General features: G+C 53.3%; 2 protein-coding genes and 1 long non-coding RNA gene across 26 annotated transcripts, besides 10 other annotated features; 2 read left to right on the top strand and 1 right to left on the bottom strand.

Annotated features, from left to right (window-relative positions):
* On the top strand, positions 24-11,823 carry FDPS (farnesyl diphosphate synthase). 7 transcript variants are annotated; one of them, NM_001135821.2, is made up of 11 exons: positions 24-234; positions 947-1,123; positions 1,201-1,363; positions 3,413-3,553; positions 9,099-9,179; positions 9,327-9,449; positions 9,823-9,911; positions 10,014-10,086; positions 10,769-10,846; positions 10,952-11,086; positions 11,567-11,823. In NM_001135821.2, exons 2-11 carry the CDS (start codon positions 948-950, stop codon positions 11,765-11,767), a joined length of 1,260 nt encoding a protein of 419 aa, NP_001129293.1. In that variant the 5' UTR covers positions 24-234; position 947; the 3' UTR covers positions 11,768-11,823. The 7 variants fall into 7 exon arrangements, with proteins under 7 accessions (NP_001129293.1, NP_001995.1, NP_001365354.1 ...); NM_002004.4 differs by having other exon boundaries at positions 24-123; NM_001378425.1 differs by lacking the exon at positions 947-1,123.
* Positions 214-383: an enhancer, noted in NCBI's record as "active region_1814". NCBI's record gives its function as "activates an Ori minimal core promoter by ATAC-STARR-seq in GM12878 lymphoblastoid cells {active_cell/tissue: GM12878}" and the evidence as "EXISTENCE:reporter gene assay evidence [ECO:0000049][PMID:35858748]".
* RUSC1-AS1 (RUSC1 antisense RNA 1) lies at positions 8,012-15,334 on the bottom strand. 3 transcript variants are annotated; one of them, NR_145424.1, is made up of 6 exons: positions 15,236-15,334; positions 13,401-13,595; positions 12,783-12,853; positions 10,961-11,090; positions 9,423-9,554; positions 8,012-9,163 (listed from the first exon to the last, which is right to left on the bottom strand). It is a non-coding gene; the product is annotated as an RUSC1 antisense RNA 1 (long non-coding RNA). The 3 variants fall into 3 exon arrangements; NR_145425.1 differs by lacking the exons at positions 12,783-12,853; positions 13,401-13,595; positions 15,236-15,334 and adding an exon at positions 14,914-15,003; NR_145426.1 differs by lacking the exons at positions 8,012-9,163; positions 9,423-9,554; positions 10,961-11,090; positions 13,401-13,595 and having other exon boundaries at positions 11,317-12,853.
* Positions 11,994-12,143: a silencer, noted in NCBI's record as "silent region_1400". NCBI's record gives its function as "represses an Ori minimal core promoter by ATAC-STARR-seq in GM12878 lymphoblastoid cells {active_cell/tissue: GM12878}" and the evidence as "EXISTENCE:reporter gene assay evidence [ECO:0000049][PMID:35858748]".
* On the top strand, positions 12,052-22,276 carry RUSC1 (RUN and SH3 domain containing 1). Of its 16 annotated transcripts, none has more exons than XM_006711254.3 (11): positions 12,052-12,149; positions 12,846-14,288; positions 14,560-14,970; positions 16,003-16,101; positions 16,260-16,336; positions 16,474-16,648; positions 16,725-16,830; positions 17,022-17,068; positions 17,738-18,290; positions 19,308-19,433; positions 21,561-22,276. In XM_006711254.3, the coding sequence occupies exons 2-11, from the start codon at positions 12,932-12,934 to the stop codon at positions 21,727-21,729; spliced, it is 3,120 nt and encodes a 1,039-aa protein (XP_006711317.1). In that variant the 5' UTR covers positions 12,052-12,149; positions 12,846-12,931; the 3' UTR covers positions 21,730-22,276.
* Positions 12,759-13,742: an enhancer, noted in NCBI's record as "H3K4me1 hESC enhancer chr1:155291392-155292375 (GRCh37/hg19 assembly coordinates)". NCBI's record gives its function as "activates a minimal SCP1, AML or CMV promoter by ChIP-STARR-seq in naive H9 embryonic stem cells {active_cell/tissue: H9 hESC(naive)}" and the evidence as "EXISTENCE:reporter gene assay evidence [ECO:0000049][PMID:30033119]".
* Positions 14,124-14,363: a silencer, noted in NCBI's record as "silent region_1401". NCBI's record gives its function as "represses an Ori minimal core promoter by ATAC-STARR-seq in GM12878 lymphoblastoid cells {active_cell/tissue: GM12878}" and the evidence as "EXISTENCE:reporter gene assay evidence [ECO:0000049][PMID:35858748]".
* Positions 14,654-14,883: a silencer, noted in NCBI's record as "silent region_1402". NCBI's record gives its function as "represses an Ori minimal core promoter by ATAC-STARR-seq in GM12878 lymphoblastoid cells {active_cell/tissue: GM12878}" and the evidence as "EXISTENCE:reporter gene assay evidence [ECO:0000049][PMID:35858748]".
* Positions 14,924-15,123: a silencer, noted in NCBI's record as "silent region_1403". NCBI's record gives its function as "represses an Ori minimal core promoter by ATAC-STARR-seq in GM12878 lymphoblastoid cells {active_cell/tissue: GM12878}" and the evidence as "EXISTENCE:reporter gene assay evidence [ECO:0000049][PMID:35858748]".
* Positions 15,464-15,833: a silencer, noted in NCBI's record as "silent region_1404". NCBI's record gives its function as "represses an Ori minimal core promoter by ATAC-STARR-seq in GM12878 lymphoblastoid cells {active_cell/tissue: GM12878}" and the evidence as "EXISTENCE:reporter gene assay evidence [ECO:0000049][PMID:35858748]".
* Positions 15,854-15,903: a silencer, noted in NCBI's record as "silent region_1405". NCBI's record gives its function as "represses an Ori minimal core promoter by ATAC-STARR-seq in GM12878 lymphoblastoid cells {active_cell/tissue: GM12878}" and the evidence as "EXISTENCE:reporter gene assay evidence [ECO:0000049][PMID:35858748]".
* Positions 15,914-16,123: an enhancer, noted in NCBI's record as "active region_1815". NCBI's record gives its function as "activates an Ori minimal core promoter by ATAC-STARR-seq in GM12878 lymphoblastoid cells {active_cell/tissue: GM12878}" and the evidence as "EXISTENCE:reporter gene assay evidence [ECO:0000049][PMID:35858748]".
* Positions 17,310-17,867: an enhancer, noted in NCBI's record as "H3K4me1 hESC enhancer chr1:155295943-155296500 (GRCh37/hg19 assembly coordinates)". NCBI's record gives its function as "activates a minimal SCP1, AML or CMV promoter by ChIP-STARR-seq in primed H9 embryonic stem cells {active_cell/tissue: H9 hESC(primed)}" and the evidence as "EXISTENCE:reporter gene assay evidence [ECO:0000049][PMID:30033119]".
* Positions 22,277-24,218: the final 1,942 nt, after the last annotated feature.

Below are 24,218 nucleotides of genomic sequence, written 5' to 3' on the forward strand. Positions count from 1 at the left end.
TCCGCCCTTAGTGTGGGGAGAGCGGGAACTACTCGACCCACAGAGCCGATCGCGGAGCGGATTCTGCTTTTAGGAGTACCCGCCAACAAGCGGGACCGAGCAGGAATCCGTATCTGGGAACAGGTGAGAGAGGATGTGTGCTGGGCCTTGGAGGAAGGGGGCCGAGACCGGGCCTTACTTCTGTAACGATACTGTGAGGCATCGGAAGGCCAGCCTGTTGTGTCCGTTTTGAAGGTCGGTGGGCTAGACTGGCTGGCCTTCTAGGGGTGTGGAGACTTCCCAACTCTGCCCTTGTGCTTTCCTGGAATCCCCAATATGCCCGGACCCCGGTTTACTCCTTTGCTGCGAGCCCTTCTCTCCCGTCCAGAGTTGCTCCGAGCCTATCTGCTCAGTCCTAGCGATTCCTGTGGGGCTTGGGACGCGCGGTTCAAGCACCCCGGACCATATGGATGCAGCACCCATGGGTTCTCGCTCCAATGCTTCTTTCCTCCTTGGGGCGTAACTCAGACCCTGGGCACCCCTCTCCACTGCCCAGGGGAGACCTGGGTTCTAGATTTGGCTCTGCCTCTACTATCTTCCTACCTCCTAGAGCCTCAGTTTGGCTTGTGTAAAATAGGATGACTTAAGGGTCCTTTCAGCCCCTAATCCTGGGGTACTTTACTCTGTACCGCCTCCTTACCCAGCCTTGTGCACGCCATCTTGAAGGCACTGAGTTCTAGCCTGTTTATTGTAAGTGGTGATTAGTTGGGTCTCAGTCACCCAGCCATACTTTTTTGTTCCCTGCGTATCCTTCCTGTAATTGTCCCCAAGCACATTCCACAAGAGGGAGGGGCACTCTGGGCTAAGGCTGGGGTGGGAGTTATCTGGGGAGCTGCCACCATGCCTCTGCCTTTGGTGCTTGCCCCTGCAGGGAGTGCTTAGTGCCCCCTCCCTATGCCACTCCCAGGATGCCCCTGTCCCGCTGGTTGAGATCTGTGGGGGTCTTCCTGCTGCCAGCCCCCTACTGGGCACCCCGGGAGAGGTGGCTGGGTTCCCTACGGCGGCCCTCCCTGGTGCACGGGTACCCAGTCCTGGCCTGGCACAGTGCCCGCTGCTGGTGCCAAGCGTGGACAGAGGAACCTCGGTGAGTGTGGTTGGGGTGAGGGGCCTTGGGGAGGGGAGCAGCTGATCAGGTTTCTGACTTGTTTTTCTTCTACTTAGAGCCCTTTGCTCCTCCCTCAGAATGAACGGAGACCAGAATTCAGATGTTTATGCCCAAGAAAAGCAGGATTTCGTTCAGCACTTCTCCCAGATCGTTAGGGTGCTGACTGAGGATGAGATGGGGCACCCAGAGATAGGAGATGCTATTGCCCGGCTCAAGGAGGTGAGGGATTCATGACTTGGGGGAGTAAGGCTTTGGTTCAGTTGCTCTGTACCTGTGTGGCATTCACCTGTGGCTTATGGGGGACTTTTGACAGATGTGAGAGAAAGCTTTTTTTTTTTTTTTGAGACAGAGCCTTGCTCTGTCACCTGGGCTGGAGTGCGATGGTGTGATCTCGGCTTGCTGCAACCTCCACCTCCTGGGTTCAAGTGATTCTCCTGCCTCAGCCTTCTGAGTAGCTGGGATTACAGGTGCGTGCCACCACATCCAGCAAACTTTTGTATTTTTAATAGAGACGGGGTTTCACTGTGTTGACCAGGCTGGTCTCGAACTCCTGACCTCAGGTGATCCACCCACCTCGGCCTCCCAAAGTGCTGGGATTACAGGTGTGAGCCACCGCGCCTGGCCGAGAAAGCTTTTACCTGAGGGACTCGAGTCTGCTCTGGAGAGGTTGGGGCCTGGGCAAGTATACTTACTCAGTCCATCAACCGGACTTTTGGCTCTGATGGAAGGTGGGTCATCCAAACTGCTTTGCTTTGGGGGTGGAGGCCTTGAACCTGGCAAGTCTTAGATTTTGTGTCCTGAAATCAGAAGCTGTTAGGTTGGCAGAGACCGGGGAAGAAGGCAGTCTGATATTGTCCTATCTCCCTGGGGCCTGAGTGAAGTTATTGTATCATTAGAAACCCCTATTCTAGAACATGAACTATTGCTGTGATACTTGCCAATTTTTTTCCTGTTGATTCTGGAGTATCTATTAAAATTCTTTTTATAAATGCTGTCTATCTCATATATCTCAGGGGAATGAAGGGAAAGGGGGGCTTTGCCTATACTGGAATGGGGATTAAAAGAGTCTTGGCCCGGCATGGTGGCTCACGCCTGTAATCCCAGGACTTTGGGAGGCTGAGGTGGGGGGGATCATGAGGTCAGGAGTTCGAGACCAGCCTGGTCAACATGGTGAAACCCCCGTCTCTACTAAAAATACAAAAATTAGCTGGGCGTGGTGGCGCCCACATGTAGTCCCAGCTACTCAGGAGGCTGAGGCAGGAGAATCACTTGAACCTGGGAGGCGGAGGTTGCAGTGAGCCGTGATTGTGCCACTGCACTCCAGCCTGAGTGACATAGCGAGATGAAGTCTTCCCTGTTAGTTAGGTCTGATTGATAGCCAGGCAGCAGAAGGCAAAGTGAGATGCAAGAGGAGACACTACTGGAGGAGTGGGAGATGGATCCCACAGCGTGGGTCCCCTGTAAGCTGTCTTCTGGCTGACTTTGGAGAGGCTTTGTTTTAATATAATGAAGGAGGCTTTTCATTTGCAGGAGGGTTGAACCCTGGTAGGCAGAGGTGGCTGGAAAAGTAGGGATGGGTTGTGAAGGGGAAGTCTAGGAGAGGTGGGGATGGGGAAGGAAACTGGGGAGGGACCTGAACAAGCCAGTCATCCCTATAGCATGTACTGAGTTTTCCGTGGGTTCAAGCCCTGTTCTGGGTTTGGGAGCAGCATTTAATCTGCACTATGGAGGTTTTAAATTTATTGGGAGGCCAAGGCGGGTGGATGACTTGAGGTCAGTAGTTCGAAACCAGCCTAGCCAACATGGTGAAACTCTGTCTCTACTAAAAATACAAAAATTAGATGGGCATGGTGGTGGGCACCTGTAATCCCAGCTACTCGAGAGGCTGAGCCAGGAGAATTTCATGAACCCGGAGACAGAGGTTGCAGTGAGCCAAGATCGTGCCACTGCACTCCAGCCTGGGTAACAGAGAGAGAATTCATCTCAAAAAAATAAATAAATAAATAAATAAATAAAAACAAAAAATAAATTTACTAGGGTAGACCATGCAGAAAGAATGTGCCTGGGTACTGGGACCTCTTCTAGCTTTGCTCCAGAAATTTGGGGAAGGAGTAAAGACAGTAGCAATTCCAGAGGCTCCTTGAAGAGGAGTTGGGGTTGGGGAGGATAAAGTTAGGTGGTGGTTGGAAATGGGAGAGAGCAAGGAGAAAACTCACAGTAGCTGCTGTATGGACCCTGATACCCTGTACCTCTTTCCTTGCCCTCCAGGTCCTGGAGTACAATGCCATTGGAGGCAAGTATAACCGGGGTTTGACGGTGGTAGTAGCATTCCGGGAGCTGGTGGAGCCAAGGAAACAGGATGCTGATAGTCTCCAGCGGGCCTGGACTGTGGGCTGGTGTGTGGAACTGGTGAGAGGGGTAGGGCAAGGGAGAAGAAGTTTCCTGCAATGGTGGTGACTTGGGTGGGAAGGGGAGGGATGGGCCTGAAACTTATTTCTGGGTTGTGTTTGTGTTTCTTTGTCTCTAGTGTGCTACGGCCAAATTTAGAGTGAATCACTCCAAGGGTTAACTAATGTGGGGAGCCTCTTTTGGCATTAGGTATGAAGATGGCTGTAGATAGTTGTAGACAGTGTGGACTGGGGCCTCGAGACTGGGCAGAGAGGTGTCAGCTCTTTCCTCTGAGCAGAGGATGGCTATAAAAGTGACAGAGGAGGCCGGGCATGGTGGCTGACACCTGCAATCCCAGCACTTTGGGAGGCCAAGGGGGAGGATCATCTGAGTTCTGGAGTTCGAGACCAGCCTGACCAACATGGAGAAACCCCATCTCTACTCAAAATACAAAGTTAGCTGGATGTGGTGGCACATGCCTGTAATCCCAGCTACTCGGGAGGCTGAGGCAGGAGAATCGCTTGAACCTGGGAGGCAGAGGTTGCGATGAGCTGAGATTGCACCATTGCACTCCAGCCTGGGCAACAACAGCGAAACTCCATCTCAAAAAAAAAAAAAAAAAAAAAGGTGACAGAGGTCTTCCAAAGGCTATTCAGAAGCAGAAATTGAAAACTGGCAGCTCACTGACAGTATTTTGAAAATGTTTTACAATTAAGTCTCCTAAATTTAACAAAGAGATTTCACACTAAAACCTAGATTTCTAGCATGGCTTGGGAAATTGTAAGATTTGGGTCCATGTTCCCGCATAGCAACAATTGGCTGAAGCTGAGTGGATGCAACTTCTGCAAGACGGCATGTGTTCTCCTGTGTGCTTTCTCTAGTTTGCTCCAATCCCCACATCCCCTTGTCTTCTATACCAGTTCGTCTTGGTCTTGAAGGTGTCTAGTTTGCTGGCATGGCCTAAAGCTTTCATTAGTGGCAGGGGGACTGGGTTCTGGGAGGGGTGCCATGCCCGAGGAGGGTGGCAGTGAGCCCAAAAGGGAAGAGCATTCAGAACTTGGTGAGTGACGATGATGCTGAGTGCCTGGCCTGAGAGGAGCAGCTGGCTCAAGGGAAGACGTGCTGAGCACAGTCAGCCCGGGTACGTTCTTGGTATGGGTGGAGCAGGTGGATCTGCCTGTCCTGTGGGCGGTGGAAATTCCAGTCTGGAACTTGTCGGGGAGATGGGTCTGGAGAATAGAGATTTGCTTCCAAGGAGGTAATAGGCCCATGGCATCCAGGGAGAGGGCCCTGGATGACAGGGATGCTGAGGGGCTGAGGGGTTCAAAATATGGAGATGACAGGCAAGGAAGGAAGGGAAGGAGGATGAGGGCAGAGCAGAGGAGTAAAGCTATGGGGGCCAAGGGAAGCAAGACCTTGAGGGGCCAGTGGTTAACTGGTAGAATCAGTTCATTTTTTTTTTGAGATGGAGTCTCTCTCTGTTGCCCAGGCTGGAGTGCAGTGGCACCATCTTGGCTCACTGCAACCTCTGCCTCCCAGGTTCAAGCAATTCTCCTGCCTCAGTCTCCTAAGTAGCTGGGATTATAGGCACATGCCACCATCCCTGGCTAATTTTTGTATTTTTAGTAGAGACGGGGTTTCACCATATTGGTCAGGCTGGTCTGGAACTCCTGACCTTGTGATCCATCTGCCTCGCCCTCCTAAAGCGCTGGGATTACAGGCGTTACAGGTGTGAGCCACTGCACCTGGCCTAGAATCAGTTCTTAACCCTAGCAGCACCCTAGTTTCACCTGTAAGTTTTTAAAAATTTTTAATTTTTTTTTTTTTTTGATACAGGGTCTTACTCTGTTACCCAGGCTGGAGTGCAGTGGCATGATCTTGGCTCACTGCAATCTCTGCCTCTGGAGCGGAAGCCACCCTTCCACCGCCTCAGCCTCCCAAGTAGCTGAGACTACAGGAGCGAGCCTCTACTTGGCTTTTTTTTTTTAGAGACTAGGTTTCACCATGTTGCTGAGGCTGGTCTTGAACTTGTGGCATCGAGTGATCTGCCCATCTCGGCCTCCTAAAGTGTTGGGATTACAGGCGTGAGCCACCACGCCTGGTCTAAATTTTTTTTTAGAGACAAAGCCTCATTCTGTTGCCCAGGCTTGAGTGTAGTGGTGCAATCATGGTGTACTGTAGCCTCGACCTCCTGGGCTCAAGCGATCCTTCCACCTCAGCCTCCCAAGTAGCTGAGACTACAGGTGCCTACCACCACGCCCGGCTTTTTAAATAGTTTTTTGGTAGAGATGGAGTGTCACTATGTTGCCCAGGCTGGTCTTGAACTCCCGGGCTCAAGTGATCTGCCTGCCTCGGCCTCCCAGAGTACTGGGATAACAGGTGTGAGCCACTGTGCCTGGCCTGGGTTTTTTTTTTTTTTTTAATTTCCCTAATAAATAGAAAGTGCTGGTGGGGTTAAGAATCAGTGCTAGGAGGCAGAGGAAATTTGGGGAGGCCATGGAATTAATTATCTTGGAGACCATCATGGTTGAGTGGTGGTGGCTGAAACAAGATTGTCCTTGCAGTCACCCTTGGGAGAGGCAGTGAATGGGTGGCTTCAGGGAAACCATGCTACTCCAAATAAACACAGAGTCAATTAAACATGTGCCTTTGATGTGGAAAGCCCAGGACCTCCACACTACTCTTCTGAGTTTAGGTCAGAGGTAAAGATGCAGATGGATGCCTCCTTCCCTGAGGACCCTGCCTATAACAGCAGTGATTGCAACGGTCCTTTCCCCACGGCCCATGCTGGGCTCTGGCAGGCGGTGTTGCATGCTTCCTTTGCAATGTGGATCCACTACAGCACACAGGATTAGGATGGGATAAAGTCTTAAAAACCATGTCTTCTAGGCCAAGTGTAGTGGCTCATGCCTGTAATCCCAGCACTTTGGGAGGCTGAGGCAGGTGGATCACCTGAGGTCAGGAGTTCGAGACCAGCCTGACCAACATGGGGAAACCCCATCTCTACTGAAAATACAAAATTAGGCTGGGCGCAGTGGCTCATGCCTGTAATCCCAGCACTTTGGGAGGCTGAGGCGGGCGGATCATGAAGTCAGGAGATCGAGACCATCCTGGCTAACATGGTGAAACCCCGTCTCTACTAAGAATACAAAAAAAATATTAGCCGGGCATGGTGGCAGGCGCCTGTAGTCCCAGCTATTTGGGAGGCTGAGGTAGGAGAATGGCGTGAACCTGGGAGGCGGAGCTTGCAGTGAGCTGAGATTGTGCCACTGCACTCCAGCCTGGGCAACAAGAGCGAGACTCTGTCTCAAAAAAAAACAAAAAACAAAAAACAAAAAAAAAATTAGCCAGGCGTGGAGGCACATGCCTATAATCCCAGCTACTCAGGAGGCTGAGGCAGGAAAATCGCTTGAACCCGGGAGGCGGAGGTTGCAGTGAGCCAAGATCGCGCTATTGCACTCCAGCCTGGGCAACAAGAGCGAAACTCCATCTCAAAAAAAAAAAAACACACAAACCATGTCTTCTGCTCAAGCCTGGGTGACAGAGTGAGATCCTGTCTCAAAAGAAAATAATAATAAAAATTAAAACCTGGGTATAGGGCCGGGTGCATTGGCTCACACTTAAAATCCCAGCACTTTGGGAGGCCAAGGTGGATGGATCACGTGAGGTCAGGAGTTCGAGACCAGCCTGACCAACATGGTGAAACCTTGTCTCTACTAAAAACACAAAAATTAGCCGGGTGTGATGGCACGTGCCTGTAATCCCAGCTACTTGGGAGGCTGAGGCAGGAGAATCGCGTGAACCCGGGAGGCGGAGGTTGCAGTGAGCCGAGATTGCGCCATTGCACTCCAGCCTGGACAATGAGAGTGAAACTCCATCTCAAAAACAAAAACCTGGGTATGTATCTAGAAGTGGAAAAACAAAAAAAGGAAATAAGTTATGAAAATAAAAACCATGTCTTGAGCTGGGTGCGCTGGTGTGTGCCTATATCCCTAGATTCTCAAGAGTTGAGACAGGAGGATCACTTGAGCCCAGGAGTTCAAGTCCAACTTGGGCAACATGACAAGACCCTTGTCTCTTTAAAAAAGCAACCCAAACCATGTCTTGAAAAGCTATTTAATGGTCAGACACGATGGCTCACGCCTGTAATCCCAGCACTTTGGGAGGCCGAGGCAGGCGGATCACTTGAGGTCAGGAGTTCAAGACCAGCCTGGCCAACATGGCAAAACCCAGTCTCTACTGAATGAAAATACAAAAATTAGCTGGCCTAGCAGTTGGTGGTGGCAGGTGCCTGTAGTCCCAGCTACTTGGGAGGCTGAGGCAGGAGAATCGCTTGAATTTGGGAGGCGGAGGTTACAGTGAACCCACATGGCGCCACTGCACTCCAGCTTGGGTGATAGAGTGAGACTCTATCTCAAAAAAAAAAAAAAAGAAAAGCTATTTAAGGAACCAAAACATAGTTTGACTGACTGCAAGAAGTATCACAGGGAATGTTAGAGTGTTTTATTAATTTCTTTGTCAGACAAGTGTTTAGGAAACTCTCACTCCAGGCCTAATGCTGTGCTAGGCTCTGCAAATGCTAAGAGGGGGAAGTTACTGTCCCTGCTTCCAAGGAGATCATGGTCTAGTGGGAAACCCGACACGTTCAGGTACCTTCAGATGGGCACTCAGAAGAGTAAGCCCTTAGTTAATGTTTAAAGATGTTTAAAGATGTCTGAGACTCATAGGTCAAAGTCAGATTTCAGTTCCACCTTATTAGACCTGCACTGCTAAGGAGCTGCTTTAGGTAAGGCTGTGTTCCTAGTCACCAGGGTGTTCAAACACAGTGCTGGGGGCAATGTGGGAATAGCCTTCTTTTATTTAGGAAGTAATGTGAAGTCAGTTTCATGAATAGATCTTACTTTAAGCATTCATTGAGGTTTTTGGCAAGAATAGAGTACGGTATATGAAGGTGTTTCCTAATCTCCCTGACACCAGGAATAATCTAGGGCTCATTAGAGATGTCAAAGATCTGTTCTAGTTTCTTAACCTAAAACAAGAGTGTTTTAGTTCCATTTTATAGGCGGGGAGTCTGAGCCAAACATGTTATGTCACTTTCCAAGTCTCCATAGCACAGAAGTCTTCTGTCTCCCCATCCTGACTTTCCCAGCTCATAGGGACTGTCAAAGGCAGCAGCTCTGGCCGGCTGTGATGCCTCATGCCTGTAATCCCAGTAATTTGGGAGGCTGAGGCAGGAGGATCATTTGAACCCAGGGGTTCAAAACCAGCCTGAGCAACATAGTGGGACCCTGTCTCTACAAAAAATAAATTAAAAAAAAAAAATAGCCAGGCATGGGGTATGTGCCTATGGTCTCAGGAACTCAGGAAGCTGAAGTGGGAGGATCACTTGAGCCTGGGAGTTAGAGGCTACAGTGAGCTGTGACTGCACCACTGCACTGGATAATAGTGAGACTCTGTCCCCTACCAAAAAAAAGCAAAACTATATACAGATATAAAGTAGCAGCTCTGTTGCTGATAGAAGGAACAGTAATGAGGAGCCCTGCAGGTCTTATTCCACTCTTTCTAGCTGCAAGCTTTCTTCCTGGTGGCAGATGACATCATGGATTCATCCCTTACCCGCCGGGGACAGATCTGCTGGTATCAGAAGGTAATGTGGGCAGGAAAATAGCAGTGGGTATGGGGACAGGCCACAGGGAGGTGGTTATATATGGCCTGGTTGAGGTGTTGGGGTGATGGCTCTTAGTATGAACCGAGACTAGAGATTGATTGCTTGTTTTTCTGTCTGTCATGACAGCCGGGCGTGGGTTTGGATGCCATCAATGATGCTAACCTCCTGGAAGCATGTATCTACCGCCTGCTGAAGCTCTATTGCCGGGAGCAGCCCTATTACCTGAACCTGATCGAGCTCTTCCTGCAGGTGTATTGCAGACAGGGCCCGATGCCCAGAGGGTGCCCATGGTAGCCTTGGCCTCTATAGGACATGCTCATCTAGCTGGTTTCAGGGTACAGGATTGCAGCGTGCCTGGAAGGGAAAGAAAGCGAGGAAGGGTGTTGGGAAGTGGGGTTGTGGTAGTGGCAAGAAAGGGCTTCTCTGTCCTGTGTAATTGGAAGAAAGGGTGATAAAGGACTGTGTGTATGAATATGGGCCTTAAGTTTTGGGGCTTTCTCCCCTTCTGTTGCCTTTCTGATTCTGCCCAGTTGTCAGCTGGTATGGGATGTTGGGCTTGGGATACCAGGGTTTCGCATATCTGGAGAAAGCCTGGCTCATGGACCGTCTTTGTCTTGCTTAGAGTTCCTATCAGACTGAGATTGGGCAGACCCTGGACCTCCTCACAGCCCCCCAGGGCAATGTGGATCTTGTCAGATTCACTGAAAAGAGGTGAGGGGAGGTGAGGGACAGCGCGAACCATGTCTGGACAGCGAGGGAGGGCTCAGGATGTGCATTGCCCTCCTGAGGAGTTTCTCTTCTCCCCTTACTCAGGTACAAATCTATTGTCAAGTACAAGACAGCTTTCTACTCCTTCTACCTTCCTATAGCTGCAGCCATGTACATGGTGAGTGAGCCTCCTCACCCCTCTCTGCTCTGCTGATGGGGGCTTTTGGACAGCAAGGCATAGAGCAGAAAACGTGAACACTGCTACCCCTGGTGAAAAACTGTGTGACCTTGAGCAAGTCGGTCTCGCTCAGTCTCTTTCCTCAGCTGGGGATAAAATTCCTACTTCACAGGACTGTAAAGATTAAGCAAGGCAAGGGATATGAAAGTGCTTAGCACATAATAGGGGAACAATATATCCTGTATCTGAGTATGGATAGGAGTGTGGAGATCATCCAGGTTGAGAGGGAGAAGAGTGGATTAAAGACAGTCAGTGGGATTAAGTGTCTACCCTGACCTTGCTTCTCTACATTTCCTTTTCATCTTGAAAGAAGTTGGAGGTGGCAAAAATATTAGGAAGGTGGATCAGAATGACTTGGGGACTGACATTTGTGAGGGAAGAGACAGGCTGTGCACCTCTAGAATGGATTCATCTCTTTTATGACTCCCAGGAAGGCCTAGCCAAAAATAAGTGGGATTGAGGTTGGACCATCAGTCAGGACTGTCTAGGTCAGGGAAGCCAAGATGTCTGAAGAGAGAGGAAAGATTTGGGGCTGCAGTAGGGCAAGACCCCATGGGAGGAAGCAGCCAGGAAGATGCCGGCACCCCTGGGGTTTGGCTTATTAACCCCCCTTTCCCTGCAGGCAGGAATTGATGGCGAGAAGGAGCACGCCAATGCCAAGAAGATCCTGCTGGAGATGGGGGAGTTCTTTCAGATTCAGGTAAGAAGGCAGGAGGCAGTAGCAGAGAACAGGCACCAGCTTCACTCCTCCTCTGCCCAGGAACCTCATCCTTCCTCTTTTGCTGCCCTCCCCCTCCCTGCCCAGGATGATTACCTTGACCTCTTTGGGGACCCCAGTGTGACCGGCAAAATTGGCACTGACATCCAGGACAACAAATGCAGCTGGCTGGTGGTTCAGTGTCTGCAACGGGCCACTCCAGAACAGTACCAGATCCTGAAGGTGCCTGAGAGAGGGTGGTGGGTCCCTGAGTTGGTGGAAAGGGATAGAGCAGTGGTTCTCAACTAGAGGCAGTTTTCCTCCCGAGGGGACATTTGGCAATGTCAGCAGACATTTTTTGCCATTGTCATTACAACTCTGTGTGTGTGCATGTGGTACAGACATCTAGTTGGCAGGAGCCAAAGATGTTGCCAAACATGTAGTACACAGAACAGCTCCCCCAGACAGGATTATCTGGTCCCAAATTTCAATAGTGCCAAGGTGGAGAAACCCTGGAGTAGAGGATGCCTGGTATGAGGCAATATTTGGGATAGGGAAGGGAAGCTTGGGATTTTAGCTACGTAGAGACACTTGAAAATTGGAGGGAGGAAAGGAGTGGGTGGCTTTGGAGATGTTCTGGAATATGTGAATGAGGGGAGTGGAGGGGTCCTGGAGGCTCTGGGGAAGGCCAAGCCCGTTTTCCTGTCTTTCAACCTCTTCCAGGAAAATTACGGGCAGAAGGAGGCTGAGAAAGTGGCCCGGGTGAAGGCGCTATATGAGGAGCTGGATCTGCCAGCAGTGTTCTTGCAATATGAGGAAGACAGTTACAGCCACATTATGGCTCTCATTGAACAGTACGCAGCACCCCTGCCCCCAGCCGTCTTTCTGGGGCTTGCGCGCAAAATCTACAAGCGGAGAAAGTGACCTAGAGATTGCAAGGGCGGGGAGAGGAGGCTCTCAATAAATAATCGTGTAACCTTCTTGTGGTTCTGTTCTTGCTCGGCCCAGCCAGAGTCTGGCTCTTTCCAGAATGTGCAGGGTGGGGTGCTGGGAGGACTCGCTGCACGGAACCAGGACCCAGGGGCCAAAAGCTTAGGATATATCAAACCCTCTAGGTGGGTGACAAAAGACGCTAAACGCTGGGGGCGGGTCTGAGCTACGCCACGCCCATGCGCGAAGGGGTGCAGCTGCGCAGCGCAGGGTAGGTTGTGCTAGTGCCCCTCCCCTCCCGCTCTGTGCCCCGCCGGGCGGGGACCGTGGGAGCCGCGGACAAGCCCAAGGCCGGAGCGGTTCCAGGAGGACCCTGGTGAGGAGGGCTCGGCCCATGGGTGTAGACCGATGGACCTGGGCACGAGGGGCGGGGCAGGACAAGGGAGCAGGAGAAATGAATAGAGAAAGGGTGCGGTGGTGGCTGAACGATGGAGACGAATGCGGAGAGAATGGACATACCGCTGTTCCGAGGGGCGAGGGCGCAGGCTGGAGCCCGGCCGAGGCAGCCAGCAGATGCGGAGTTGACAAGCTGACGGCTGCTCCATCCTTTTCCTCTCCAGCCCCCACCCCTTTCCTGCATTCACCAGACAAACTCTGCGTATTGCCCCACCCCCATCCTCCACCTCCTTTCAGGGCATCTGGGTGGGTCTCCCTGGGTCCCTTCCTCTGGGAGTAAGGGGTAGGCTGGAGGGCAGGGCCAGATTGCGGCAGCAGGGACCTGGAGGTCCATTCTGGGCCCGGACCTCTTCCAGGCCCCCGCCCCCCTTCGGAGATCCAGAGCGCAGCCGCGTTCTCTGACCCTCCCGGCTCCATTCCCGGGGGGTTACATTCGACTCCATCTGCAAACACTGCAGTGGAAACTAATGGTCAGTCGATTGCGATTTGCATCTCATTGAAATATCTTCCAAAGCAGCCAGAGCCTTCAGGCCTGCTGCTGCCGTCAAGTCACCTCGGTGTCCTTCCCCGCAGCTCTTGTCCTCACTGGCCGGGCTTCACCACCTCTGTCTTCTAGGTCTGCACCTGTGGTTGCCAGGTAGGTGGATGTGAGAGACCCTACCCTTCTGGTTCTCTAGAAGCCATCCCATCGCCGCTAGCATCATGCTGTCCCCTCAGAGAGCTTTACTCTGCAACCTCAACCACATCCACCTCCAGCACGTCTCCCTGGGCCTGCACTTGTCCCGCCGTCCTGAGCTACAGGAGGGGCCTTTGAGCACACCCCCTCCTCCAGGAGACACTGGGGGCAAGGAGAGCAGGGGCCCCTGCAGTGGCACCCTGGTGGACGCCAATTCCAACAGCCCAGCTGTGCCCTGCCGGTGCTGCCAGGAGCACGGTCCGGGCCTAGAAAACCGGCAGGACCCGTCACAGGAGGAAGAGGGGGCTGCCTCTCCCTCAGACCCAGGCTGCTCCTCCTCACTCAGCTCCTGCTCAGATCTTAGCCCCGATGAGTCCCCTGTCTCAGTCTACTTGCGGGACCTCCCTGGTGATGAGGATGCCCACCCTCAGCCCAGTATCATCCCCCTGGAGCAGGGCTCCCCACTGGCTTCAGCAGGCCCTGGCACCTGCTCACCGGACAGCTTCTGCTGCTCTCCTGATTCCTGCTCCGGAGCTTCTTCTTCACCCGATCCTGGCCTGGACTCGAACTGCAACGCCCTGACCACCTGCCAGGACGTCCCTTCCCCAGGCTTGGAGGAAGAGGACGAGAGGGCGGAGCAGGATCTCCCTACCTCTGAGCTCTTAGAGGCGGATGATGGGAAAATCGACGCTGGGAAAACGGAGCCCAGTTGGAAGATTAACCCAATTTGGAAAATTGACACAGAGAAAACTAAAGCTGAATGGAAAACCACTGAAAACAATAACACTGGTTGGAAAAACAACGGGAATGTTAACTCTAGCTGGAAAAGTGAACCTGAAAAATTCGACTCTGGTTGGAAAACCAACACAAGAATAACTGATTCTGGCTCGAAAACAGATGCAGGGAAAATTGATGGAGGATGGAGAAGTGACGTCAGCGAGGAGCCGGTGCCCCACCGGACAATCACGTCCTTCCACGAGCTGGCCCAGAAGCGCAAGCGGGGCCCAGGGCTGCCCCTTGTCCCGCAGGCGAAGAAAGATCGCAGTGACTGGCTCATAGTCTTCTCGCCCGACACCGAGCTCCCCCCCTCGGGGTCGCCGGGCGGCTCCTCGGCACCTCCTCGGGAAGTCACCACCTTCAAGGAACTCCGGTCCCGAAGCCGGGCCCCAGCCCCGCCAGTCCCGCCTCGAGACCCCCCAGTTGGCTGGGCTTTGGTCCCGCCCCGGCCCCCACCCCCGCCTGTCCCTCCCCGAAGGAAGAAGAACCGACCTGGACTGCAGCCCATAGCGGAGGGGCAGTCCGAGGAGGGCCGGGCTGTCAGCCCAGCGGCTGGCGAGGAGGCCCCAGCCGCGAAGGAGCCGGGCGCGCAGGCCGGCCTGGAGGGTAAGAGGTCGCAAGAAGCGGGAGGAGGGCTGGGCTTCGGCCGCTCACGCCTCCTAGGCTTCCAACCCGGCCCCCTGTCTTCCCTCCATTCTGTGTCACCCATCCTCCCCGCCCCTTCTACCAGGGAGCGCTCCGGGAAAGGGAAACTGGGTGGGTCATTGGGTTATGGGACTAACTGTTTGCTCCCTCTTCTTCCCGCCCCTTCTTGCCTGGCTGCCCATCCCGCTGCCCTCCTTCCCTCTGCGCCTGGCCCCGCCAATCCCGCCTGCAGCCGGTCCCCTCCTGCTCCCTCGGCCCCTGGTTTTCCGGTTCTCGGCCGACGGGCGCCCCCTGTTGGAGGGTGGGGGCGCAGGCGCAGCTGGGTCTCTGCTCCTGGCTCCTCTGGCCGGGTGGCCCGGCGCCGGGCTGCGGCTGCTGGGGGCGCCGAGCCCCCCAGAGGAGCAGCTGCTGCCCGTCCGCCTGTCCCCGGTGGGAGCCTATTCGCCTCCGACTCGGGGAGCCTTGCCCTGCCTGGCCAGCCCCGAGCTGGCACTGCTGCTGTCCCCGCTCTTTCCCAGAAGTAGCACCTTCCCCGCCGCGGCTCCCCCACCCCGCCAGGTACCCGCCCCCCCGCTGCCACCGCAACCTCGTCCGCCGAAGGCCCCTCGCTGGACCAGGAGCCCATCGCCTCCGCCCAGGCTACGTAAGACGGACCCGGGCTAGCCCCGCGGGCCACGCCTCAGGCGGGCCGCCCCGCCCACTCTCGCCCGGCCCCGTTTTCGCTTTTTTTCCGGGGTTGCCCAGCTTAGTCCCGCCCTTCAGTTTAAGCCGACTCCAAGCAAGTTTGTCGGCCTTGGGGAGTCTGGCCCCGTTCCTAGTGCTGGAGGGGGAAGTTGTTGCCTTTCCTGCTCCGTGGGCCGGCCCCCTCTCCCTCCAGACCCACCTGGGCATAGTGGACGCGGGCTTACCCAGCCTCCATGCCAAGTCTAGGGGGTCCCAGCGAGTCTGTTGTTAGGGGCTTTGGGTCACACCCTCTGTGGAATTCCTTGGCCTGTGCAGCTCGGGCCTGCCCCCCGACCTTGCTAGGGAGGGGTGGAGGGTGAAGCTCCCGGGAGCTCATTGGCACTAGAGGTTCTGGCCACGCCCTCTCCGCGAGTCCAGTCCCACGCGGGATGAAGAGGGCACCCTCCGCCAAGAGGCTGCTGCGGGACCCGGGTTTCCCCTTTCCGGCGCCTTCCAGCCTCCCAATCCTCGGGTCTCGCCTCCCTCCGTCTCCTCCCTTTCCCCTGTCTGTCTTTCCATTGGTCCATGCCGCCCACGTGCTCCCCGGGGCTCCGCAGGCAGGACTGGGCCCCGGGGCGGTGCGCTGGGCTACACCTCCCTCCCCGCGCCCCGTCCTCTCCCGCCCTACAGGCCCTAGCAGGGCAGGCGGGAGGTGAGCGCGGCCATCCCGCTCCCGGAGTTCCGGGATCCTGGAGGTGGGGGCTGTGCCCTGAGGGAGGGCACAGGGAACCGGGATGGGGCTGGGGGACAGCGAGTGCTGGGAAGTGTGCGAGATTTCACTCCGGGGCTCGGGTCGAGCTACCCCGTGCTTCAGGCGGTCCTGCGCCTCCTCTCCCCAAGACCCTTCGGGGACACAGCACTGCAGACCCGCCGGAGACAACTTGTGCGGGAGCCCGGAGTCCTCGGAATAACACTTGGTAAGTGTTACCGCGCCCTTCTTCCCTTACGCCAGTCCGTAGTTCGTGGTCCTTCGCCGGTGTCCCCGGAGCCCAGCGGCTGTGGATGGCAGAAGCCCAGAGTGGGACTGGTCAGCTGCAGGAGCAGAAGAAAGGTAGGGCACCCTGACTCCCGACCCCGCGCTTCCGAATAAACTGCCCTTCGCCCCCGGCCCTGCTCTCAGGCTGTCCGAAGGCAGTCTCTCCACGCCCCTCGGGCAAGCCTGGGTAGGGGCGCGGCCTCCTAGCGTCTTCCCTTTCCCACTCCTCCCAGGTCTTCTGATAGCCGTCAGCGTCTCCGTTGATAAAATCATCTCGCATTTCGGGGCCGCCCGGAACTTGGTGCAGAAGGTGAAGGTGGCTGGGGGGAGGCTGTTGGGATGAGGAGAGTAATGGAGCTCCGCGGGGGGTGCGGGAATGGTTGGCGGGAGGTGGCTGGGAGGTGTCTGGAGGGATCTCTGGAGCCATCGGCATCGCGCCACCTCCAGGCCCAGTTGGGTGATAGCCGGCTGAGCCCGGATGTGGGGCACCTGGTGCTGACCACCCTCTGCCCGGCCCTCCACGCCCTGGTGGCGGACGGGCTGAAGCCTTTCCGGAAGGACCTCATCACCGGGCAGCGCAGGAGCAGCCCCTGGAGCGTGGTGGAGGCGTCGGTGAAGCCAGGTGAGCCAGGAGGGCGTGGGACCCGGCAGTGCGCAGGGCAGGGCCGGGCTTGGCTGACTGCACCCCACGTTCTCAGGCTCCAGCACCCGCTCCCTTGGAACCCTGTATAGCCAGGTCAGCCGTCTAGCCCCGCTGAGCAGCAGCCGTAGCCGCTTCCATGCCTTTATCCTGGGCCTCCTCAAGTGAGTTGCCTTCTTTCCAGTGCCCTTCCCACGACCTGGGACTGCAGGAGCGTCATGGGTGGGACACAGTAGTAGTGCCTCACATCCCCAGAGAAGGCCCCCCCTCTTCCAATCTCATCTCCCATCCTCCACCCAGAGAGGACTGGAGTCCTCCACCTCCCTGAACTTCCATTCCCTCTTTTCTCCCCTAGCACCAAGCAGTTGGAGCTGTGGTTTTCCAGTCTCCAGGAAGATGCAGGTCAGAGGTTCAGATGGTAGAGGATGGGGCTGATGGGCTGGGAGGATGGGAAGGAAAGAGTTCTCTCCTGCTGGTTCCCACTGCTGCCAGAATGCCATTAATCCAGATCTCCGATCTTATTACTCTTCTAATTAAAACTTTCTAAGGAGGCCCATCGCCCATAGGATGAAAGACCCAAAGCCTTGGCTGTCTGGCCTCTGCCCTCTTCCCCTGCCTTGGAGGGTCTTGCCAACAGTCTTCCCGCCTGGCCCTTCCTGCTCCAGGGCCCTGCTTATGCTGTTCCTCTACCTTCTGCCCCTCCTGCTTCCTCTGAACTATCATTCATCCTTTGAGTCCTTCCCCAGTGAGGCCCTACCTCTACCCTCGGACTAGGCCAACCCCCACGCCTCATTTTGTATGTGCTTCTATGGCTCTCCTGTCCTCCTCCTCTGTAGCCTTTGCACTGTCTCTGTTACTTGTCACCACTTGCTGTGTGTGTCTTCCTATTTGGGCTAGGTTCCATGCAGGCGGGGATGTCAGTCCTATAGCCCACCACATCCTTCCTCCTCTCTGCCCCAGTGCCCAGCAGAGTGAGGCCTGGGAAGATGTGTGCTGACTGGTGGGCTGCTCTGGGGGGTCTTCTGGGACTAGGTCCAGGGCAGGAGCTGATGTTGGCCTGCTCTTTTCCAGGCCTGCTCTCCCTCCTGTACCTGCCAACAGGATTTTTCTCCCTGGCCCGCGGTGGTTGTCCCTCCCTGTCCACAGAGCTGCTGCTCCTGCTGCAGCCATTGTCGGTGCTCACTTTCCACCTGGACCTGCTCTTTGAGCACCACCACCACCTGCCCCTGGGCCCACCTCAGGCCCCTGCCCCTCCAGGCCCACCTCCAGCTCTGCAGCAGACTATGCAAGCCATGCTGCACTTTGGGGGCCGGCTGGCCCAGAGCCTTCGGGGGACTTCCAAGGAAGCTGCTTCAGACCCCTCTGACTCTCCAAACCTTCCCACACCAGGGAGCTGGTGGGAGCAGTTGACCCAGGCCTCCCGGGTCTATGCCTCTGGGGGCACTGAGGGCTTTCCTCTTTCCCGATGGGCACCGGGGCGTCATGGGACTGCAGCTGAAGAAGGTGCACAGGAGAGACCCCTGCCCACAGATGAGATGGCACCAGGCAGGGGCCTCTGGTTGGGAAGACTATTTGGAGTGCCTGGGGGCCCCGCAGAAAATGAGAATGGAGCCCTAAAGTCCAGGTAATGGGGTACCTTGTCCTTTCTATGACCTTCTGACTCTCTCAGATCTCCTAGCGGCTTCATTTGAAACTCTCTAGTGATGATCCTTTAGGGCAGAGATTGGCGGTCTGTTTTTCTACAGCCATGAGCTAAAAATGGTTACATTTTAATGGTTATGTTAAGTGCCTACATAATGATCTCAATTTTCTCTCTTGGCCCTAGGTCCTAAAATATAGTTATCCCCAGGTACATGTGGGGGATTGGTTCTAGGACCCTCACATACACTAAAATCTGACATACTCAAATCCTACAGTTGATGTATAGGAAAAGACAGCCCTCAGTATATGTGGTATTACATCCTGAGAATACAGTATTTTTTGTTCGGTTGAAAAAAACCTGCATATAGGTGAACTTGTGCATTTCAAACCTGCTTTGTTTAAGGGTCAACTGTATTTACTATCTGGTCGTTTAGAAAAATGAAAAACAGCCTGGGCAACATGGTGAAACCCTGTCTCTACAGAAAAATACAAAAATTAGCTGGGCATGGTGGCACACACGTGGTGGTAGTCCCAGCTACTCTAGGAGGCTGAGGTGGGAGGACTGCTTGAGCCTAGGAGGTCAAGGCTGCAGTGAGCTGTAATCACACTGCTGCATTCCAGCCTGGGCGACAGAGCGAGACCCTGTCTCCTCTCCAAACAAACAAACAAAATGCCAACCCCTGCTCCAGGCTTCAACAACTGGTGGCTCTTTAATGGCTTGAGATACTCTCTAGTGGCCATTTCATTCTGAGCCTGTCTAGACCCTGCTGGGTCCATAGGTTCCTTGTGATTTGTGGTGTTGTGGACTTTTGTTGTCATCTCCCTCATCAGCCTAAAAGTGCCTGTGTCCAATAATGAACACTCTGCCCTCAGCAGTGACTAACCCCTGACCTCTTTTGAACCACAATTAGGCCCCTTAGCCTCTCCCTCCCTCCAAACCCCAGGGTTCTTGGGTTTTCTGGAAGTGGGTTGAGCTGTGACCCTATGTCCCTTCTTTTAGGAGACCATCTAGCTGGCTGCCCCCGACAGTGAGTGTGTTGGCTCTTGTGAAGCGGGGGGCACCTCCCGAGATGCCTTCTCCTCAGGAGCTTGAGGCCTCAGCACCCAGGATGGTGCAAACCCATAGGTAAGGAGGATTGGGGAGAATGCACTAGTGTGTAACCATGTATGCTATCACAGCATGGATGGGAGGTAGTGTAAAAAACCCTGGGCTTTAAAATAAGACCGTGCTTAGTGTGCATTGCAGCTTTTCTATTTATTATCGATGTGTCACTCATTTGAGCCTTGGATTTTTTTTTTTTTTTAAGAGACAAGAGTCTTGCTCTGTCGCTCAGGCTGGAGTGCAGGGGCACAATCTCGGCTCACTGCAACCTCCCCTTCCTGGGTTCTCCTGTCTCAGCCTACTGAGTAGCTGGGACTACAGGTGCCCACCACCATGCCCGTTTAAGTTTTGGAATTTTTTTTTTTTTGAGATGGAGTCTAGCTCTGTCGCCAAGCTGAAGTACAGTGGCATGATCTCGGCTCACTGCAATCTCCGCCTCCCAGGTTCAAGCAATTCTCCTGCTAAGCCTTCTGAGTAGCTGGGATTACAGGCACATGCCGCCACGCCCAGCTAATTTTTGTATTTTTAGTAGAGACCGGGGTTTCACCATGTTCGCCGGGATGGTCTTGATCTCCTGACCTCGTGATCCGCCCGCCTTGGCCTCCCAAAGTGCTGGAATTATAGGCGTGAGCCACTGTGCCCAGCCAATTTTTGTATTTTTAGTAGAAACGGGGTTTCACCGTGTTGCCCAGGCTGGTCTAGAACTCCTGACCTCAGGTGATCCACCCACCTCAGCCTCCCAAAGTATTGGGATTACAGGCATAGCTACTGCACCCGGCCAGGATTCTTTCTATAAAAAGGATATGATGCAATACCTTTTTTATGGTTATAGAGACTAAACATAATTTTTTTTTTGAGACAGAGTCTCACTCTCGCCCAGGCTGGAGTGTAGTGGCATGATTTCGGCTCACTGCAACCACGCCTCCTGGGCTCAAGTGATTCTCCTGCCTCAGCCTCCAGAGTAGCTGGGATTACAGGCACCTGCCACCATGCCTGGCTAATTTTTGTAATTTTAGTGGAGATGGGGTTTTGCCATGTTGGCCAGGCTGGTCTTGAACTCCTGGCCTCAAGGAATCTGCCTACCTTGGCCTCCCAAAGTGCTGGGATTACAGGTGGGAGCCACTACACCTGGCTACTAAACTTTTTTTTTTTTTTTTTTGAGACAGTGTCTTGCTCTGTCGCCCAGGCTGGAGTGCAATGGCATGATCTCGGCTCACTGCAACCTCCGCCTCCTGGGTTCAAGTGATTCTCCTGCCTCAGCCTCCTGAGTAGCTGGGACTACAGGCGCCTGCCACCATGCCCAGCTAATTTTTTATATTTTTAATAGAGATGGGGTTTCACCATGTTGGCCAGGATGGTCTCGATCTCTTGACCTTGTGATCCACCCACCTCAGCCTCCCAAAGTGCTGGGATTACAGGCGTGAGCCACCACGCCTGGCCTAAACATTTTATAAAAGCATTTGGCGGCCGGGCGTGGTGGATCACCTGAAGTCAGGAATTCAAGACCAGCCTGGTCAACATGGTGAAACCCCGTCTCTACTAAAAATACAAAAATTAGCCAGGCGTGGTGGTGGTGGGCACTTGTAGTCCCAGCTACTCGGGAGGCTGAGGCAGGAGAATTGCTTGAACCTGGGAGGTGGAGGCTGTTGAGATCACACCACTGCACTCCAGCCTGGACAACAGAGACTGACTCTGTCTCAAGAAAAAAAAAAAAAAAAAAAAAAAGTAGATGGAGTAGTAGGAGATCCAAACACCAAACAGGTTTTGGTGATGGATTGGATGTATGGAGTGAGATGCCCAGGTTTTTACCAGGGGCAAGTGTGGGGAGAAAGTGGTGCTGTTTACCACTATAGGCGACACGAGGAGGAACTGGTTTTGAGGGTGAGTCATTTCATTTGCCTGTGTTGAATTTGAAGCACCATTGAGAAGTGCAAATAGTGTCAAATAAGCAGCTGGAGTGGGTTTGCCACTCAGGAGAAGGCTGGGGCCCCAGATAGAATCACCAAGTTGATGAATGGTTCTCAAGTCCTTCCAGAGCCCAGTCAATGTCCACTGAGCCAAACCAACAAGGGCACTCTAGAGGTGACGCCTGGGGACGGCTGGGCAGCCCCACCTCACCTCATCCCAGTATCTTCCTCTGGCTCCCCTCAGGGCAGTGCGGGCTCTCTGTGATCACACTGCTGCAAGACCTGACCAGTTGAGCTTCCGGCGTGGGGAAGTGCTGCGTGTCATCACCACAGTGGATGAGGACTGGCTCCGCTGTGGGCGGGATGGCATGGAGGGTCTGGTGCCTGTGGGGTATACCTCCCTTGTTCTGTAGCCCTGGGACCCTTTCCTGCGTATGTGTCTCCTTCCTGTCACCTGGGAATGGAATGGCCAGTGAACACCATCCCAGAAGCATTTTCCCTCTGCAAAATGACGTTTCTTCCCACGTCTGTTTCTGCTAATATTTAAAATAAACTTTCCTTCTTCCCTCCTATACCCACCTGTAAGGTGAAATCTGCTCTTCTTCCAAATATATAAAAAAGGAATTGCCCTCCAGGTAATCCCTTTCCTTTTTCCCGTCTATATAAGGGAATGTCTTCCTTCCTATCTATCTGCAAAATGGAAATCTAGACCTCCTTCTTCATCCATAAGTGGACTGTGCCAGTACAATACATGCCTCAGCCCCCAAGCCTAGAAGGACCTCTAGTCTCCTTCCTGTGTGGAATCTTCCCCACTCCATCCCTCCCAAGTTGCCTGTATTGATAATGTACTCACTCATGCTGTACTAGGTGCTGAAGCCTGGACACCCTTGGTGGGTGGGCCTGTGGTGATGGTTTGCATCCTTCCTCCTTTGTCCCAATAAAGTATGGGAGTTGAATGTGTGTCTTTCACTGTGGGTTTCTGGACATAGGCTATGGGGGAGGGGAAAAAGGACCTCCTATGGGAGGCATAAGGCAGATGTTTCTTCCTAGCCCAGGTTTAGTGCTTAATGCTCCCTGAAGAATAGAGAAGTAGTCCCTCATTGCTTCCTGAATCTCACAAGTGCTTCTCTAGTCTATGACTTTCTCTGTTTAGTTAGACTAATAGGATAGGAGCCTGCATAAATATGGGGGAGGAGAGAAGACTTAGCCCTTGAAATTGTACTTCATATCTGAGGTGAAGGGAAGGATTAAAGATTTGCACCGGGCACAGTGGCTCAGACATGTAATCCCAGCATTTTGGGAGGCTGAGGCAAGCAGATCACTTGAGCTCAGGAGTTCGAAACCAGCCTTGGCAACATGGCAAAACCCCGTCTCTACAAACAATACAAAAAATTAGCCAGGTGTGGTGACGCATGCCTGTGGTCCCAGCTAGTTGGAGGGCTGAGGCAGGAGGATCCTTTGAGCCCAGGAGGTCGAAGCTGCAGTGAGCTGAGATTGTGCCACTGCATTCCAGCCTGTGTGACAAAGGGAGAACCTGTTTCAAAACAACAAAGAGTTGTAAGAAATGTCACCATTTTTTCTACTGGCCAGGCCCGGTGGCTCACACCTGTAATCCCAGCACTTTGGGAGGCCAAGGGGGGTGGATCATGAGGTCAGGAGACAGAGACCATCCTGGCTAACACAGTGAAACCCCGTCTCTACTAAAAATACAAAAAAATTAGCGGGGCATGGTGGCAGGCACCTGTAGTTCCAGCTACTCGGGAGGCTGAGGCAGGAGAAAGGCGTGAACCCAGGAGGCAGAGCTTGCAGTGAGCTGAGATCGCGCCACTGCACTCCAGCCCGGGCGACAGGGTGAAAATCTGTCTCAAAAAAAAAAAAAAAGAAAAAAGAAGTATCAACATTTTTTCTACTTAGTATCTATCACTCTGTGATGATATAATTCCAAGTAACCCAGGCACTTGACAACAACAAAAAGTTCCAAGTAAAAGAGAGGCCAGGTATGGTGGCTCATGTCTGTAATCCCAGCACTTTGGGAGGCTGATGTGGGAGGATTGCTTGCGGTCAGGAGTTTGGGACCAGCCTGGGCAGTACAGCAAGACAGTCTATTAAAAAAAAAAAAAAGCTGGGAGTGGTGGCATGCACCTGTAGTCCCAGCTACTTTGGGAAGCTGAGGTGGGAGGATCACTTGAGCCTAGGAGTTCAAGACTGCAGTAAGTTTTGATTGCACTGTAGCACTCCACTCCACTCCAGCCTGTGAGACAAAGGGCCTCTCTCAAAAAAAAAAAAAAAAAAAGTGTATGTGTATATATATATATATATATATATATATATATATATATATATGATCTAGAATAGAACAATTGCAGTAGATACCAAAGTTTAAAAATTAGAAAAAACGCGGCTGGCTGCAGTGCCTCATGCCTGTAATCCCAGCACTTTGGGAGGCCAAGGTGGATGGATCACCTGAGGTCGGGAGTTTGAGACGAGCCTGACCAACATGGAGAAACCCCATCTCTACGAAAAATACAAAATTAGCCGGGCGTGGTGGCACATGCCTGTAATCCTAGCTATTTGAGGGGCTGAGGCAGGAGAATTGCTTGAACCTGGGAGGCAGAGGTTGCCGTGAGCCGAGATTGCGCTATTGCACTCCAGCCTGGGCAATAAAAAGCAAAACTCCGTCTCAAAAAAAAAAAAAAAAAAATTAAAGATAATCTCAAAAAAATGTAACAGTAACATATTGTTTTTGCAATCATGAAGAAACCATTATGTAACAGTAGGGCACTCTGATCTAGTCTTGAACCTCAAGTCCTTATAGGAATAGAGATTGAACTGTTGGAGTAAGCTGTCTTGCTACTTCTGAGCAATTGTATTCTAGCTGAACTCCCAGCCTGGTTTTTTTTTT

The sequence above is a fragment of the Homo sapiens genome, chromosome 1 (assembly GCF_000001405.40).
Source record: "Homo sapiens chromosome 1, GRCh38.p14 Primary Assembly".
Taxonomy (NCBI): Eukaryota; Metazoa; Chordata; class Mammalia; order Primates; family Hominidae; genus Homo; species Homo sapiens.

Bases quoted from the DNA above. Each gene is read 5' to 3' on its own strand.
- FDPS (NM_001135821.2), top strand. From the start codon at position 948: ATGCCCCTGTCCCGCTGGTTGAGATCTGTGGGGGTCTTCCTGCTGCCA. The intron at 1,364-3,412 runs GTGAGGGATTCA...CTTGCCCTCCAG, and splicing joins CTATTGCCCGGCTCAAGGAG to GTCCTGGAGTACAATGCCAT. The intron at 3,554-9,098 runs GTGAGAGGGGTA...CACTCTTTCTAG, and splicing joins TGGGCTGGTGTGTGGAACTG to CTGCAAGCTTTCTTCCTGGT.
- RUSC1 (XM_006711254.3), top strand. From the start codon at position 12,932: ATGCTGTCCCCTCAGAGAGCTTTACTCTGCAACCTCAACCACATCCAC. The intron at 16,337-16,473 runs GTGAAGGTGGCT...CGCCACCTCCAG, and splicing joins CCCGGAACTTGGTGCAGAAG to GCCCAGTTGGGTGATAGCCG. The intron at 19,434-21,560 runs GTAAGGAGGATT...GGCTCCCCTCAG, and splicing joins AGGATGGTGCAAACCCATAG to GGCAGTGCGGGCTCTCTGTG.